The sequence below is a fragment of the Homo sapiens genome, chromosome 3 (genome assembly GCF_000001405.40).
Source record: "Homo sapiens chromosome 3, GRCh38.p14 Primary Assembly".
In the NCBI taxonomy this organism is placed as follows: domain Eukaryota; kingdom Metazoa; phylum Chordata; class Mammalia; order Primates; family Hominidae; genus Homo; species Homo sapiens.
In genome coordinates this window covers 158,890,038-158,906,844 of record NC_000003.12, presented here as the reverse complement: position 1 = coordinate 158,906,844, position 16,807 = coordinate 158,890,038, and positions in this window count along the sequence as shown.

Genomic DNA, 16,807 nt, shown 5'->3' with positions numbered 1-16,807 from the left:
TTTGAGAGGGAGATAGACTAGAGGAAAGGAGGATATTGTGATAATTGGAAGGAAGAAGGTGATGAGCAGTACCTAATGCACAAGTCCAGTGGAGAGTGCTCTATCGTGAATATAGCATCTAGACAATCTTCACTGGCTCTGGCAACTAAAGGGTGGCATTGCTGCCCCCAAACAATAGTCACATTAATGGTATGATAGGGGTGAGCCCAGACATCAGAAGGTTGAGGAATGAGCAAGTGAAAGAATAAACTATTCTTTCAAGAATTTCAGAAAGAAGAGGGATGAAAGATTTAGATATTAGTTCAAAGGGAGATTGAAATGGCTGAGAGGTGTTGGCTCATTTTGTATATATGGGGGACCTGAGTGTGTTTATACACTGAATTCTTGACAGAAGCTATGAAGGGGAGGAGGTTTGAGGGCCCCAGGTGTAGGGAAATGAGAGACTGAGGGAATGCTGAAGGAGGTGGGAGGGAGTGTGGTCAAGAGAAAAGAAGAGGAAACTAAGCCTGGTGCTGGCATTAGCTTTCTCAATACCACGCTTTTTGCCAAGCTTTTTTCCAAATAAATCATTTTTGCCTTCCTGGAAAAGCTGCAGCCACTGGAGAAATGAGGTCAGCCTTCAGAGTCCCTATTGACTAAAGACTACGCAAAGAATAGGAAATCCATAAATAAGTTATATGTATTGACAAATGTATTAGTCCATTCTCACACTGCTAATAAAGACATACCTGAGATAGGGTAATTTATAAACGAAAGATGCTTAATTGACTCACCGTTCCACATGGCTGGGGATGCCTCACAATCATGGCAGAAGACAACAGAAGAGCAAAGACATGTCTTACCTGGCGGCAGGCAGGCAAGAAAGCTTGTGCAGGGGATCTCCCATTTATAAAGCCATCAGATCTCGTGAGACTTATTCACTACCATGAGAACAGTATGGGGGAAACTGCCCCCATGATTCAATTATCTCCACCTGGCCCTTCCCTTGACACGTGGAGATTATTACAATTCAAGGTGAGATTTGGGTTGGGACACAGCCAAATTATATCAACAAATAACATGCTTACCCACAGAGATATAAGCATATTCATTAAGTATATTTTACACCAACTTCTAAACAATATCCTCCAATAAATAGCTGTTTAGGTAAACAGCAGAATTATTTTAAAAATACATGGAGTCCGCAATCTTAATGAGAATCTCTGTGACCTCACTGGCAAGTTAACCACTCTTCAAAAGCCCAAGGAGCTTGAATGTCAGATAATGCAGACCACCTGGCCTCATATGTACCTCACAGCTTAGTCCAGCTTGTCAAGGGTCTTATCACATAGACATATGCATGCTATGTACCTGCTTATTCCTTTCTTCCAACAGGAAGCAGAAAGGCTAATCCAATTCCCCTGGGAGGTGGGAGACCATTCTGGGATTAGATAACACCCAGGGATTAGATAAAACAACAAAAATCAAGAGCAACCCAGGTGGGAGCAGGGAGAGAGATAAAAGCAGTATAGGCAAACGAAAGTGTTGGAATTTATCACTGGGATCCCTGAGAGCTCCTTTCTGCCTGATCTCACTGCTATAAAACTTCTCAGACTACTCTAAATCCATCTTTAAAAGTACTGCATGGTGAGACTACCGATTGGCCAGCCAGTGGGAAAAACAAGAACATAGGGTCATTACTTCACACTTTTTTTTTAACTTTTCCATATTAATTTATTGATAGTGATTAACTTATACTATAGAAATAGTACTATTAATTAATGCTGAATTTGTATTACTTAGTTGTTTCTGAGCTTTTCTTTTTTTTTATTATACTTCCAACTGGATTAAAGATAAAAGTCTGAAATATCAAACCATAAAAGCATAGAAGAAAACAAGATTAATCTTGTTTTTAATCTGAGTCAGAATGGTCTAAGTATGACACAAAATCCAGGAAAAACAAGAAAAGAGCAATAAATTTCACCAATATTTAAAATTTCTGAGTAGTAAAAAAATTAACAAATTACAAAATCATATTTGCAACTCATATTCCAGACAAATAATTGATTTATCTAATAAATAAAGAAGTCCTACAAACAATAAGAAAAAAAAGCCAACAAACCAATAGGAAAAGGAGCAAAGAAGATGAACAGGTTTCTTACTAAAAAATAACGAATTTCTCTTGAACACAGAAAGATGTGCAACCTCATTTACATTCAGAGAAACACCAATTAAAACTCTAATGAGATGCAATTTAACCTGTTAGGTAGGCAAAGATCAAAATATTTTAAAACACAGAGTTTTGAAGACAGTATAAAAAGAAAGGAATTTTATACATAACCAGTTAGATTATAAATTGATGCAACATAAATGAAAGACAATTGTTATCAAAATGTAAAGTGTGCATACACTTTGACTCTGCAGTTTCACTTTATATGTAAGATATTTGTATAAAGATCTTTTTTTTTTTTTAAGGCGGAGTCTCACTCTGTTGCCCAGGCTGGAGTGCAGTGGCACAGTCTCGGCTCACTGCAACCTCCGCCTCCCAGGTTCAAGCGATTCTCCCGCCTAAGCCTCCCAAGTAGCTGGGATTACAGGCACCCGCCACCAGGCCCAGCTAATTTTTGTATTTTTGTAGAGATGGGGTTTCACCATGTTGGCCAGGCTGGTCTCAAATTCCTGACCTCAGGTGATCCACCCACCTTGACCTCCCAAAGTGCTGGGATTACAGGTGTGAGCCACTGTGCCTGGCCTGTATATGGATATTTACTGAAACATTTTATAGGAGCAAAAGATTACAAACAATCTAAATGTCCACAAATAGATAACTAGTAAATAAATTCCAGTTTATTCATATAATGAAATAATATGAAGCCGTTAAAAAATGAAATAGCATTACATGTACAGATAAGAAATAGTCTCCAAGATATATTAAACAAACAAAGAGTAAGGAGCAAAGCAATGTATGGTATGGTATTATTAATGTAGGAATTAATACACACACACCCACATGTTTACAAATTGTGTAAATTGTCTCAGGAAGAATAAACAAAAAAGTGATTGCCTTAAAAAGAGCTAGGTAACTGGGGTAGAGGGGCAAGCAGGAAACTCACTTTTTTTGTATGTCATTTACATATTTAGAATTACATGGCATGCATTGACATTACCTATTCAACAGTAGATTTTTAAAAATACATCTTATAACAATACAGAGTCTTCACACTATAGACATATAATATCATCTGTCACTGGGAGATATATTGTCAAAAAACAGACTTTTTTTTTCTTTTGTGAATTTTCAGGATCCTGTTTCTATTTTCATTATTCATCACCTCTGGATGACAAGCATATGCGCCTGGAAGTTTAGAACAGCAGTTTGCACTACTTCCCATGAATGAGGCTTAAATAATTCAAATACAACTCCCATATGGAGTTATTTAAAATAATTTTTGAACCTCCTTAAATCCCTTTTGGAAATGTGTAGGGTCCAAATAAATGAAGTAAACTCTTTATTAGCAAAGTATAGTTTTATAGCTGGACATGATGATCACATTGAACCTAATTCTGCCAGCTGGGGAAGCTGTTTCCTTTGCACAAACTGGGCTAGTTGGAAGCCAGAGTTACATTCTTCATAAATGTGTCAAATATATCTCTTCTCAAAGTAGTAAATATTATTAAGTGGAATTTCAGGCACCCTAGAAATGGGAGAGATTTCTGGGCAGGGCTTTTCTACTGCCCTCATGTAATATCTGCAAGGGACCATTCAGAATATCTATATATGAATTAAACTCTGTCAACCAGAACCCTAACTAAACTAGATGAAATTCTAAGTGCACACTGACATCTCTCTGGTTGCAATATGGTGACAATCAATATTAATACATTCTGGAAAGCAAGTCTTCCTTCCAAAAGATGCGCCGGCACCCAGATAGGCAAAATCAATCAGGTTGACATCAGAAAGGTACAAATGAATACAAGTTACTAAGCAAAAGGAACGCTAAAGAATATTAACTAAATTTTCATTGTCTAGCACAATTAAGTAGAAGGTCACTGAAGCTTCAGATGGTAACATGTTGGTTATTGCCTACACGAGAAAAGTGAGTACGTGAATGATTCAAAATTTAACTGTGATTCAAAATAGTGTTTTGTATTTACTAAAATTCTCCATGGTGCAGCTAATATTTTGAAAAACAATAAAAACTCTTAGAGAAAGCCCAGTTTTTTAAAAAGTTCACACTTAGAAAATCTTCCATTTGCCCTTTCCACCCATTGCATTTATAGCGTAAATTCTAAGCTAGCAAAAGTATTTGAATACCCTAGTAGTTTTTGTAGAGATTCTGAAGGCACTAAGCTACGATTTCCTCAAGTAGTGTCATTTGACAGCACTTAGAAAATGCTACAAAAAGAAAAGTGGAAGGTTTGAACAAGTAATCCCTTTAGTCCATCTCCTAGACAGATTTTTCTCCACCTTAAGGTAAGATTAATTGTCAAACCAATAGGATATCACTAGTCATGCCTTTTAACCTGTTCATTGCATTTGGTAGTAGTGGTTCTGATGTCTTTTGGATGATTAGACTTTCTGAATAGAACATTATAAGATATCTAGACCTGTTAAGTAGATTTCCCATCTATTTGCAAAATACAGTATTTGCAAGGAGTTAATTATATACATGTCCTCCACCACAAATGTCATCTACCATAATAGGTAAGAAAAACAATAACATCTGTGGCCATTATGTAAATACAGAATATAAATAAAACACCACTCACAAAATCCTCCCAACATGTTCTGGTTACACCTCAGTACAGCATCATCATCATTTTCACTCCCTCCAACAGTTTATCTAATCTCAATTCTGAGAAGCTGACCGAGAAAGATAAGATTTAACAAAAGATAAATATACACACACGTAAAATGATGTTTAATGTCTTATTCATTCTGAATGCTAGAGTTATCTTTATCAAGGTAGTCTGTATTGATTTTCAGACACTTTAATACCAGGTCTGCCTATAAAATAATGAAAGGCCTGCTTTTATTTGAGGTATCAGTTCAGTCACATAGGTTTTTTTTAATCATTATATGTCTTACACACAGTATCTCTCAGGAGATAATGCTATAATAATGATGTAGGAAGAACATGGTTAAAGAGCTAAATAGTGATCAGGTAGGATAAATATACTGCAAGTATATGTAATTTTACATTGAACATGGGTATATCTCCATTTCTGTTAAGTTAGAGTTGGAAGGAAAAGGGGATCCACACAGATTGCTGTTCTGTTATATCATTGCAAGGCCATTTCAAATATATTAGGTCAGTGCAAAAGTAATTCCAGTTTTTGCCATTAAAATTAGAAAAAAACCAAAATTATCTTTGCACCAACCTAATAAAATGGAATGATTCTCCAAGGAAAAAGAATCTCTTCCCTTTTCTGTTAGAAAAACACAGTCCTCTGCAGTCTGTAATTGTTTTTTATCCTATTCTTGCTAGCCCAAATCACTGAAACATTCCAGCATTTCAGAAAAGTCAGCTCCCCATGGACTTAGAAAGAAAAGCCTACTTGTAAAGTTCCTTTGATTTGCTTGAATTCATTTTCAGTACCATTTGCTAGTATTCATATAACACAGTCCTATTCCTGATGAAGAGGGCAGTGCAACACTTGGAGTCAGGTGCTGATTATAGAGGAGGTAAAAATTGGGTGAAAATATATTAAAAATTAACCATTTCTTAATTCTGCTCCAGGGATAGAAGTTAGATTTTTTTTTCCCCCACCACTAATATGCCAATAAAAAGATAAGCTTTTCTGTGAAAATTATTCCTGTTAAATAATATATTCATTAAATTTTACTCTTTTAATTGCATTAAAGATGTGGAAAGGATAACTTTCTGTGGTGACTAGAATGAATTCAAAATTCCTACTTGCCACTTATATTTATGCACATGAAAATGATTTGGAAGCAATATATGAAGTTCTGAATTCACTCACATCTTCTGCTGCATAGTTTTCAAAGGAGATGTTAAAACCAGTTATTTTAGCACCTTTGTTTATTAAGAGTCATTCTGGTCAGAGGAAAAAAACAAACGTTTGTTCGCTAAAAACTATGCATTAGTACTATGCCAATCTCTGCAGAGGATACAAAAGAAAGATAAGAGGCCATTCCCTAAAGGAGTATACAAGAAAGGATGGAGAGATAAAACTGAACAAAGTATTGCTTATTTCTAGGCCCAGCCAGTCCAGCCTAATCAGTTTGTTCCATCCTCTCCATCACCAGTAATTGGTTTCAATTTAAGCACATGATCAAGTTGGACTAAACTGGAGTTCATCTAGGACTCTGGCTATGTGGATTTCAGCTGGGGTTGCCAAACTGAAGGGCTCATTCATTTATGCATTTAACTAATCTTTTGTAAATATCTATCCTGTCAGGCACCCTTCTAGGTGGCAGATGGAAGCAACATAAAGGAAAACAAAAGAGTTGGAGGGAAAGAAATAGACGATTGGAGCATCTGGATTCAACTATACCTCAAGTTAGATTAACCCCTGGACTTTTTAACTGCATGAATCAACAAATCTTCTTTTAGTTTAAGACATTTTGAGTTAGTTTCTGCCACTTGCAACCCAGAGTCCTAACTAAGATCCCACCATCATCCCCAGGGTCTAACTGTGGCAACTGGACTAAAGCCTCACCTCCTTGTACTGTCCGCCTTGCCTGCTTCCAGTTATGGTCCTATCCCTAAGCCAGTTCTAGCAGGCTTGTGGTCCATTCCTCATCCTTTCTAGCATTTCCAAACTTAATTTGGAGTGACTCTCCAAATCTAACTTAGACTGGTCCCAAAATCTTGGAAGAAACCTATTCTCCAACTTCAACATAGACTGGCCTTTTTTCCTTTGAGGAGAAAGAAAACTGAACAGCGTGAATATCCTCACATAAATACATGCAAATACATCACTAGAATCAGATGTGGAGCTGGAGGTACCCCACCAGGGCAGCTCCTCCTACGTCATATCCAATGCAGAAATGCTGTCTCATTGTCTATGACCATCCATCCTCTGGTTAAATGCCTCCAGAGACAGAAAGCTCACTACCTCAGAAGCCATCCTGTTCTATTGATGGACAACTTCTATATATGAGATGTGTCATTATTATACCAAAATAAAAATTACTCCCTCTGAAATTTCCATTGCTTTATGCTATTTCTGTTAAATAGAGCAACAAAGAGTCAGCTTTCTTCATTGTCTACTTGTCAGCCCTTCAAATACTTGAGGACAATTAGTATGTCTGCTTTTAGTGTGTATTTTTCTACAGTTCATTCAGCTATTCCTTGAAATATGTAACTTCCAGATCCTTTAACATCCCAGTTCTCTTAGTCTAAATATACTCTGATTTGTCAACATCTCTTTTAAAATATGTTATTCCTCCCATCCACCCCATCCCTGAACTCACCTTTGGGGTGATCTGAAAAGCCCAGAGGACTGTGTGCAGGTCACTTTCAATGGGCTAAACATTGAATTTGTGATGACAAATCCTAAGATGTTATTGGCTCTTTTTCTTTTAGCAAACACACCACATGGTTGATTGATAGTTTTAGTACAATTCTTGACACATAGTAGGCTTCCAGAATGTGGCACTGAAGCTCCAGGTGATCCAAAACCTCCAGAGTCTGTTTACAAGAACCTACTGCATTGATGGTCCCTCTTTTCCTTTCCTACCTTGGAAAATGGATAGTTTGTTTTTTTAACACAAGCTTCAAGCTAGGATCCCAGCTGGTTTGTTCATCATGGTACGACCACTACCCAGAACAGTGTCTGGCACATGGTAGGGATTCAATGAGGGCTGATTAACTCAATGACTGTAAATACAAGAACCTCCTGTTTACTTAATTTTTGAATTTCAACCTTGATATTTAGTTAGTTGAGGTAATTTGCCGTCTAAACTCAGTATTAGTTATATTTCTTAATTCATGTTCCCTCTAAATTTAATAAGTCTGCCTTGTGCGGCCTTCCCTAAGACATTGATGAAAACATTGGAGAGGCTGGAGCCAAAGTTGGAACCCTTTAGGACTCAACAAGAGACCTTGGTCAAGGTGACATTGAGTCATTAGTCATACTGTGGGACTGAGCAGCAAACCCACCTTAGCTTTCATCATCTCACTCTGGCAAGGCTTTCTAAAGCTTTGTTGAAGTCAAAACACAGATTTAGTAGGTCAAGTCTTATGAAATTATTTTTTCTAGGTCAAGGTTCAATAGCAGCAATTTCATGTGGTTCAACCTCATTAAAAGCACCCACTAATAGTTAGCCAATGTTTTGTTTGTTAATTTTTCTGGACTTTCCTTAAAGAATCTATACTGGTTCTGTTCTGCCATGTCTAGCATCTGCCATCTTCCACCTCTGAAAATCAAGGTATTTGCCCTTCTCCAACTAGCGGTGCTCACCTGTATAGATTTCGTCTTCATTTAGGACGCTGCCATTTGCTTGAATCTGGAGACCAAGACTCATTCAATGTCACTGAGGGATGGTCTCCTGCAAATGCCAATGTGTATCTTGGACTCTTCTTCCACTAAACTGTGTCTTACTATTTATGGCCTGAAGACTATTCTCCTTACAAAGACTTTTATACATGCATAAGAGTTCTCAAAATAAAACCCTACTTCTCTTGAAGCTGAGTAATTGGCATTTAAAGTGCTTCAATAAATGTAAAAGTTAGGCATTTTAAAAAGTAGATGGCTGCTGGGCACAGTGGCTCACACCTGTAATTCCAGCACTTTGGGAGGCCAAGGCAGGCAGATCACAAGATCAAGAGATCGAGACCATCCTGGCCAACACGGTGAAACCTCATCTGTACTAAAAATACAAAAAAATAAAATTAGCTGGGCATGGTGGCGCACACCTGTAGTCCCAGCTACTCGGGAGGCTGAGGCAGGAGAATCACTGGAACCCAGGAGGCAGAGGTTGCAGTGAGCCGAGATTGCGCCAGTGCACTCCAGCCTGGTGAGACAGTGAGATTCCATCTCAAAAAAAAAAAAAAAAAAGTAGATGGCATGGCAAGGCCTTCTCCCACCCCAAAAGTGACAAATGACCATACAACTAATAATACGGTAAACCAAAAAGAAGAAATTGCATAAGGCAGGTTTATATGTGTGTGACCTTCAGGCAATAAATGTGAATTTTAAAGGATCAGTGAAAAATATTACTGAAGTAGGTTCAGAGCTGTTGAATATATGAATTTGAATGAATACACCAACACATGGAATAATTTAAAAGTTATACTATACACTACAGGCAGAGATTATATAAACATTTACCTAGGAGAGATTAGAAAAAATATATAGAAAGTTGTCTCTGGATGGTTATCATTTTCAAAAACAATAAAGCTAGTAACTAAAGCCATATGTCATAATATTCAAACATAATCCTAGTTCTTACAAATATAAAAGAGTTTCAAAGTGTAACATCTTGTGCATGGTATGTTATAGAATTAATTTTTCAGTTTTGTTTTTTGTTCATTTGTTATTTTGCAATTTGTATATTAATAGTGGTCAGAAGTGAAAAGTGGGAGAAATAACATTTCAGTAATTGAACATCATTAATGTGTTTACCATTTTAAAATACATAGAAACAACCTTAAAAAGCAAACCAGACCTAATATTTAATCAGATAAAATGTCTAATAAGTATTAATACCTATCTTTAAATTAGAGAATGAGGAAAACGTATGACTTTAAAATTATCTGAAACTAAAAACAAGATTATTTTTACGAGACGCCTTGGGCAAATGAACCTTGGCAACAAAGATATCAAATCAGCTCTTTTAAATAAATTATTTTCTCTAGTGGCCAGCAACCTGAACTATGACGGCTTCTAGCACAAAATTCAAAGGTTGCTTTTCCTCCCAGAAAGTAACGCTGTCCCCTCTGTACTTGCCAAATCAAGCTTCTGGACTGTGTTTATTTGACTATTAAACTGCCAATTATTCATCAGGTTTTCTAGTTTGCGGTTTCTCCAAAGCACTTTGCTTCTTGCCCACTTCGAACAACCTGCTCATTAGCAGTAACTGTGTACATTCAGGAAGGGAAGAATGACCCTCAAGCCAAGCTATCTAGTTGTTATTTGCATGACTAATAAAATATGCAATGGAGTAAACAACTGAATCTACAGTTTTCAACAGGGTTTGGGGACCAAGTATGGATTTTAGTTTTTCCTTAACTTGGCAACATTTTGAAGCATTTTGTTCACATTAAATTGGTTTACTTTTGTGTTTAAAATTTCTAGGCTCTCTATTACTTTATATTTTCAGATAGTCAAGAAGCACATGTTTGGTCTATTGCCCTAAGTCACTTTTCAAAGGCAACTCGAGGAAAACGATTTGCAGCTAGAGCAAAGGTGACAAGTTGACCTTTACTGGCTGCAAAGACGTTTGTCATAATAATCAGCTGCTTTCTGGTCTATAAGAGAAATATTCTCTCGGCTTTCATTTATTGTTTCTAATATCAGCACATCATTATAAATATTATTGCAAGTCTGCAGAGAGCCAGGGTTTGAGTGATGATGCCCTTGAAATGCCCCAGACTTTAATTTTAGCTGGAAAATCAGGCAAAAACAAGATGTTTTCCCCTGTGCCCTATCTTTTACAAGAAATATTCACTATGCCATTTGATAAATTAACCAATAAAATATATTCTTGGATAAATATATGTTAATCCTTGTATATTTCCTAGCTATTTTAATTTGTGATGGAATTTGCCTCAAAAGGATCCATAAGTTCACACTGCAAATACTCCTACAAATCTCCCCAAAGGACCTGCAACCATGTACTAGAGTGTCTACACATTGTACAAAAGAAACACCCAAAGTTTTCAGAGATTACTAAACACTGGCCATGAATTGACACTAATTTCTAGAGACTGAAAATGCCACCAGGAGCTCTGTAGAGCTCACAGTGGTCAGGTAATAGATGGAGTCATACATCAATTCCAAATTACAGTGGACCCAGCTGGTCCATGGACCTGCTTTGCAGTTATTCCCCAGGTTCTGAATGTATAATTGAAATAGACACACTTAGCAACTGGAAGAATTCCTATGGGATGAGGGCCACTGGAACTTCCCTTTTCTACCAAGGTAGTAAATCTGGGGAATTTCAGAGACTAATACCACCGTAACAGTCTTGAAAGAAGCAAAGATGGTACCTATCACACACTCATTTAACTCACCAATTTAACCTATGCAGACATTCATGGATTATAGAGAATGACTGTGGATTATCGCAGTCTTAGGTAGTGGCAACTGCAGCTACTGACCTACATGTAGTATCTTTGCTAGAGCAAGCAAACATGGCTATGGGCACATGACATGTAACTAATGCCTTTTGCGTCATACTAATTTGCAAAGACCCCCAGAAGTAGTTTGTTTGTACCTTACAGGGGAAATAGTCTTCCTTCAGGGCTATATCAATTCTCCTGCTCTCTGCCATGTATAATCTGCAGAGACCTTGATTGTCTTTATGCTACATTGACAACATTATGCTGATGGGCTCTAATGAGCAGGATGGAGCAAGTACTTAACATCTTAGTAAGACATATAAAAGACAAACCCAACTAAATTTCAGGGGACCCCAGCCACCTCAGTGAAGTTTCTAAGGGCTTAAAGGTCTGGAACAAGTCAAGATATCCCCTGCAAAGTTAAATATAAATTGCTGCACTTCATATCACCTACACCCAAATAAAAGGCACAATGCTTGGGAGGCCTTTTTGAATTTTGGAAACAATATAGTTACAAGCTTCTCTACCACTTCATCCTTATTATCCAGCAGATTCAGTGATATCTGAAATCTCTGTGGCAAATAGGATGCTGTCTGGAATCTCTGGTGGGTACAAAAGAATACTCATAATGCAAACCTCTGGAATGGTGAAGACAATTTACGTCCTTTTTTGCAGATAACTATTTTCTTTTCGGGAAACACCTACTGGTCCTTGATAGAGACTGAACACCTAACCATGGGACATCAGGTGGCCATGAAACCTGAACTTCCCGTCATGAACTGAGTGTTGCCCAGCCATAAGCTGGGAGTGCACACCTGCATTCTATCATAAACCGGATGAAAGACTAAGATCAAATGAGTTTGAAAGGTATGAGAAAGTTGCAAAGCAGGTCGCTCAAATTTCCACGCAATTCCTGTTGCATTGCCTCCTGTCTCTCTCAATCCATGCCTATGGCTTCCTTATGATCACTTGAATGAGGAAGATATTTGTGCGCCATATGAATTTCCATATTTATCTACTGCAGAATAGGCTTTTAATAATCAAATGGACAAAATGATGCACTCTGTGAATGTTAGTAAGTCTCTTTCCCAAGTCACCCCAGTGCTTTCTTAATAGGTAATTAACAAGTGGCCAAGGAGACAGGGATGGAGAATGACATGGTTTGGCTGTGTGTCCACACCCAAATCTCATCTTGTAGCTCCTACATAATTCCCATGTGTTGTGGGAGGGACTTGAGGGGAGATGATTGAATCATGGGGGTAGGTCTTTCCTGTGCTGTTCTTCTGATAGGGAATGGGTCTCACAAGATCTGATGATTTTAAAAAACAGGACTTCGCTGCACATTTTTTTTTGCCTGCCACCATCCACGTAAGAAGTGACTTGCTCCTCCTTGCCTTCTGCCACGATTGTGAGGCCTCCCCAGCCATGTGGAACTGTAAGTCATTACACCTCTTTCCTTTGTAAATTGCCCAGTCTTGGGTATGTCTTTATCAGCAGCATGAAAATGGACTAATAAGGATACTATGTATGGGCTCAACAACATGGACTGCCCTTAGAAATGACCCAAGTGTGACTAATCTGTCAACAGCTAAGACCAACACTGATCCCCAGATATGGCACCATTTCCCAGGGGTACAGACCACCACCTGGTAGCAAGTTGATTAAATTGTACTATACTCCTTCCAAAATAGATGGGGTATAGATTTTGTCCTCACTGCAACAAGCACATATTCTGAATAAGTATTTGCCTTCCTTGGTAACAGGGAAGATGGTAGTTGAGTATTGCCATTGATAGACCCACAGAATGCTTTACCATCATCATGGCATGCTCCATAGCATTGCTTCTGATCAACAAACTCCATTTCACAGAGAAGGAAGGACAGCAATGGTCTTAAACATATGAAATAAACTGGCTAGCTAATTGAAAAGGGGAATGGCTTTCTGTGACTCAGCTATGATACTACTTGAGACCCTGCACCCTGAAAAGGGGTTGTGTCTTACAGGATACAATATATGCTTTGAGTCACAGGCAATTACATGGTGTTATCTCCCTCCCAGCAGAATACACAGATTTGTGAGTTGAGAAGTAGAAGTGGGAATGCCTCTTCTCATTATTATGTCTAATACCTCACTCTCAGAGTTGATGCTTCCTTTACCAGCAACCTTGAGCTGTGCTAGTTTGTAGGTCTTTGTTCCCATGTAAGGAATGCTTCAGTCTGGGGGCACAAAAATGGTTCCATTAAATTGGAAGATGATATTGCAACTTGGCCATTTTAGGCCTATACCACTGAATAAAAGACAGAAAAAAAAATGATTATTCTTTTGGCTGGAGAAATTTATCCAACTACCAAGGGTAAATTAGGTTACAAAAATGAGGAGAAGAGTAACTATTTCTGTAACACAGGGGATTCTTTGGGATTCTCAGTACTCCCAAGCACAGTAGTGAAGGTTAGTGGAAAATCATAGCAACCAACAAAAGACAGGACAATTGAGGACTCAGACTGTTCCCGAAGGTTTGGCTTACTCTACCAGGTAAAAAAAACTCCAGCTAACTGAGATTCCAGGTGGAAGGCAGAGGAAATATTATAAAGGTGGTAGAAGAAGGAAGCCATTGGCATCAATTACAGCCTCATGACCAATTAGAGAAACAATGTCTATAGTAGCTTTGCATATTTTCTTCTTGCTTGCTATGTGTATGTGTTTATTTGTATATGTTAACAATTTGCTTCTATCTCTTTATTTTTTGGTTTTATATATAAGTTGTTGGAGGTTAACTTTACAACTTAGTTTGCAGGTAACAAAATATTCTGTGGGCCTTTGACAGAATTTGATGAATAATAAATATAGCCAGTTATGGATACAATGATTGTTGGGACTGTGTGTCCCTTCATTTTGGGAAAAGGCTAACAATTTTACTTGTAAAAAGAACAGCTGTATCTTGTTTGGGAGAAATATAAAGTTGTTTCATTGTTGTACTGAAGTTCAAATGTGTGTGGAAGAGTGTGTATGGAAACTGAGTAGCCAGAGAGACTGCAGCAATTACCAATGTAATTGTAATTATCCCTGAACTCCAGATCCACCTTTTATTGCCTTCTCTATGGTACTGAGCTGTAAATATTTCTTCATTTCCAGTGGGCATGATAGGCTTTGCCACTCATGGTGGCAGGAGGTGCACTGGAGGGATAGGGCAGGAGGTGCACTGGAGAAAAAAGGGATTTCTCTTCCTGGTTCTGGTGTGCTCCTCTCTTGAGAGTCCCACAGCACATATGGCTTCACTAGCACCTGTCCCTACAATGCAGGTGGTTTCTCCTGCTCCCAGCTCTTGCAGTATGAACAACTTCTCCAGCACCCAGCTCCCGCAGTGTGCAGCATCTAGCAGTACCCAGTGGTCAGCAGCTTCTCCCAGCATCCCTAAGGCAACTTCACAGTGGAGTGCCACTGGCAAGGCATGTCCTAGTGAACTACTTGCCCTAGTTCCCTGTTGGGAAGCTTCAAGGCATGTTCCCAGGTGTGGCACTTCCTGTGGATGCTTCCCCTGGCCCCAGAGTTACAGTTAATCCCCTTTTACAGTTAATAACTCTTGATATTAAACTTGCCCTCTTCAAATTACTGTGTGGCTTCCGTCTCCTTGTCAGACCATCATTGATTCAGACAGGCAAAAACACATGTCTTTTGGAGAAAGTGTTCATTATACTTCTCAGTATATTTAAAAAATAAAACAGACTTTCAGACTATATATATATATATATATATATATATATATATATATATATATACATACACACACACACATATATATACACACACACATATATATATATATACACACACACATATATATATACACACACATATATATATACACACTAATCTGCTATAGACTGCTGACTGTGTCCCCCTAAAATTTACAGGTTGGAGTCCTAATCCCCAATGTGACAGTATTTGGAGGTGGGGTCTTTGGGAGGTAATTAGGTTTCAATAAGGTCATAAGGATGCAGCCCCCATGACAGAATTAGTGTCCTGTAAGTAGATAAAGGAATCAAAGCCCTCTCTTTGCCATGTGAGGATACAAGAAGATGTTGGTCTACAAACCAGGAAGGAATCAGCCAGCACCTTGAGTTTGGACTTTCCAGCCTCCAGAACTATGAGAAATAAAGTTCTATCATTTCAGCCACTCAGTCTATTCTATTATTTTTTATTATAGCAGCCCTAAATGACAAGACATATTATTTACATGTTTCTAAGCTACTTTATTCTGCATATTGGAATTTAGTATTTATAACATTTAATTTAAACTATCTTTTAAAAAACAATCTACTATGAAGTGATTTGGAAAGCTACACATTGAAAACTAAAGAACTGTAAATTAGTGGTGATCTGTAAGATTTTGGTGCACCCATCACCCAAGCAGTACACACTATACCATATTTGTAATCTTTTATCTCTCACCCCCCTCTCCCTTTTCCCCCAAAGTCCGCAAAGTCCATTGTGTCATTCTTTGTGTCATTCTTATGCCTTTGTGTCCTCATAGCTTAGCTCCCACATATCAGTGAGAACATATGATGTTTGGTTTTCCATTCCTGAGTTACTTCACTTAGAATAATAGTGTCCAGTCTAATCCACGTCACAGCAAATGCTGTTAATTCATTCCTTTTATGGCTGCATAGTATTCCATCATCATATATATATAGATATATAGATATATAGATATATATTTGACTTCCTCTCTTCCTATTTGAATATGCTTTATTTCTTTCTCTTGCCTGATTGCCCTGGCCATAACTTCCAATACTATGTTGAACAGGAGTGGTAAGAGAGGGCATCCCTGTCTTGTGCTGGTTTTCAAAGGGAATGCTTCCAGCTTTTGCCCACCATATATATATATATATAGTGTGTGTGTGTGTATATATATATATAGTGTGTGTGTGTGTATATATATATGTGTGTGTATGTATATGTCTGTATATATATCTGTGTGTATATATATCTGTGTGTATATATATGGTGCAGTGTATACTGCTCGGGTGATGGGTGCACCAAAATCTCACCAATCACCACTAAAGAACTTACTCATGTAACCAAATACTATCTGTACCCCAATAACTTATGGAAAAATATTTTAAAAAGTAAAATTAAAAGAAGTGTATGATTTTTACACTTAAGAAAGAGAAATAACTAGGAATGAGAAAAGAAATACTAACTACAATTCTTTAGGTTGGTCCCATGAATTTGCTATTGTGAATTGTGCCGCTATTTCTCCACATCCTCTCTAGCATCTGTTGTTTCCTGACTTTTTAATGATGGCCATTCTGACTGGCATGATATGGTATCTCATTGTGGCTGAGAAAAAGAGGGACTCCTCCCTAACTCATTTTATGAGGCCAGCATCATCCTGATACCAAAGCCTGGCAGAGACACAACAAAAAAAGAAAATTTCAGGCCATATTGGATATTCCCTGATGAACATCGATGCAAAAATCCTCAATAAAATACTGGCAAACCAAATCCAGCAGCATATCAAAAAGCTTATCCAACACAATCAAGTCAGCCTCATCCCTGGGATGCAAGGCTGGTAC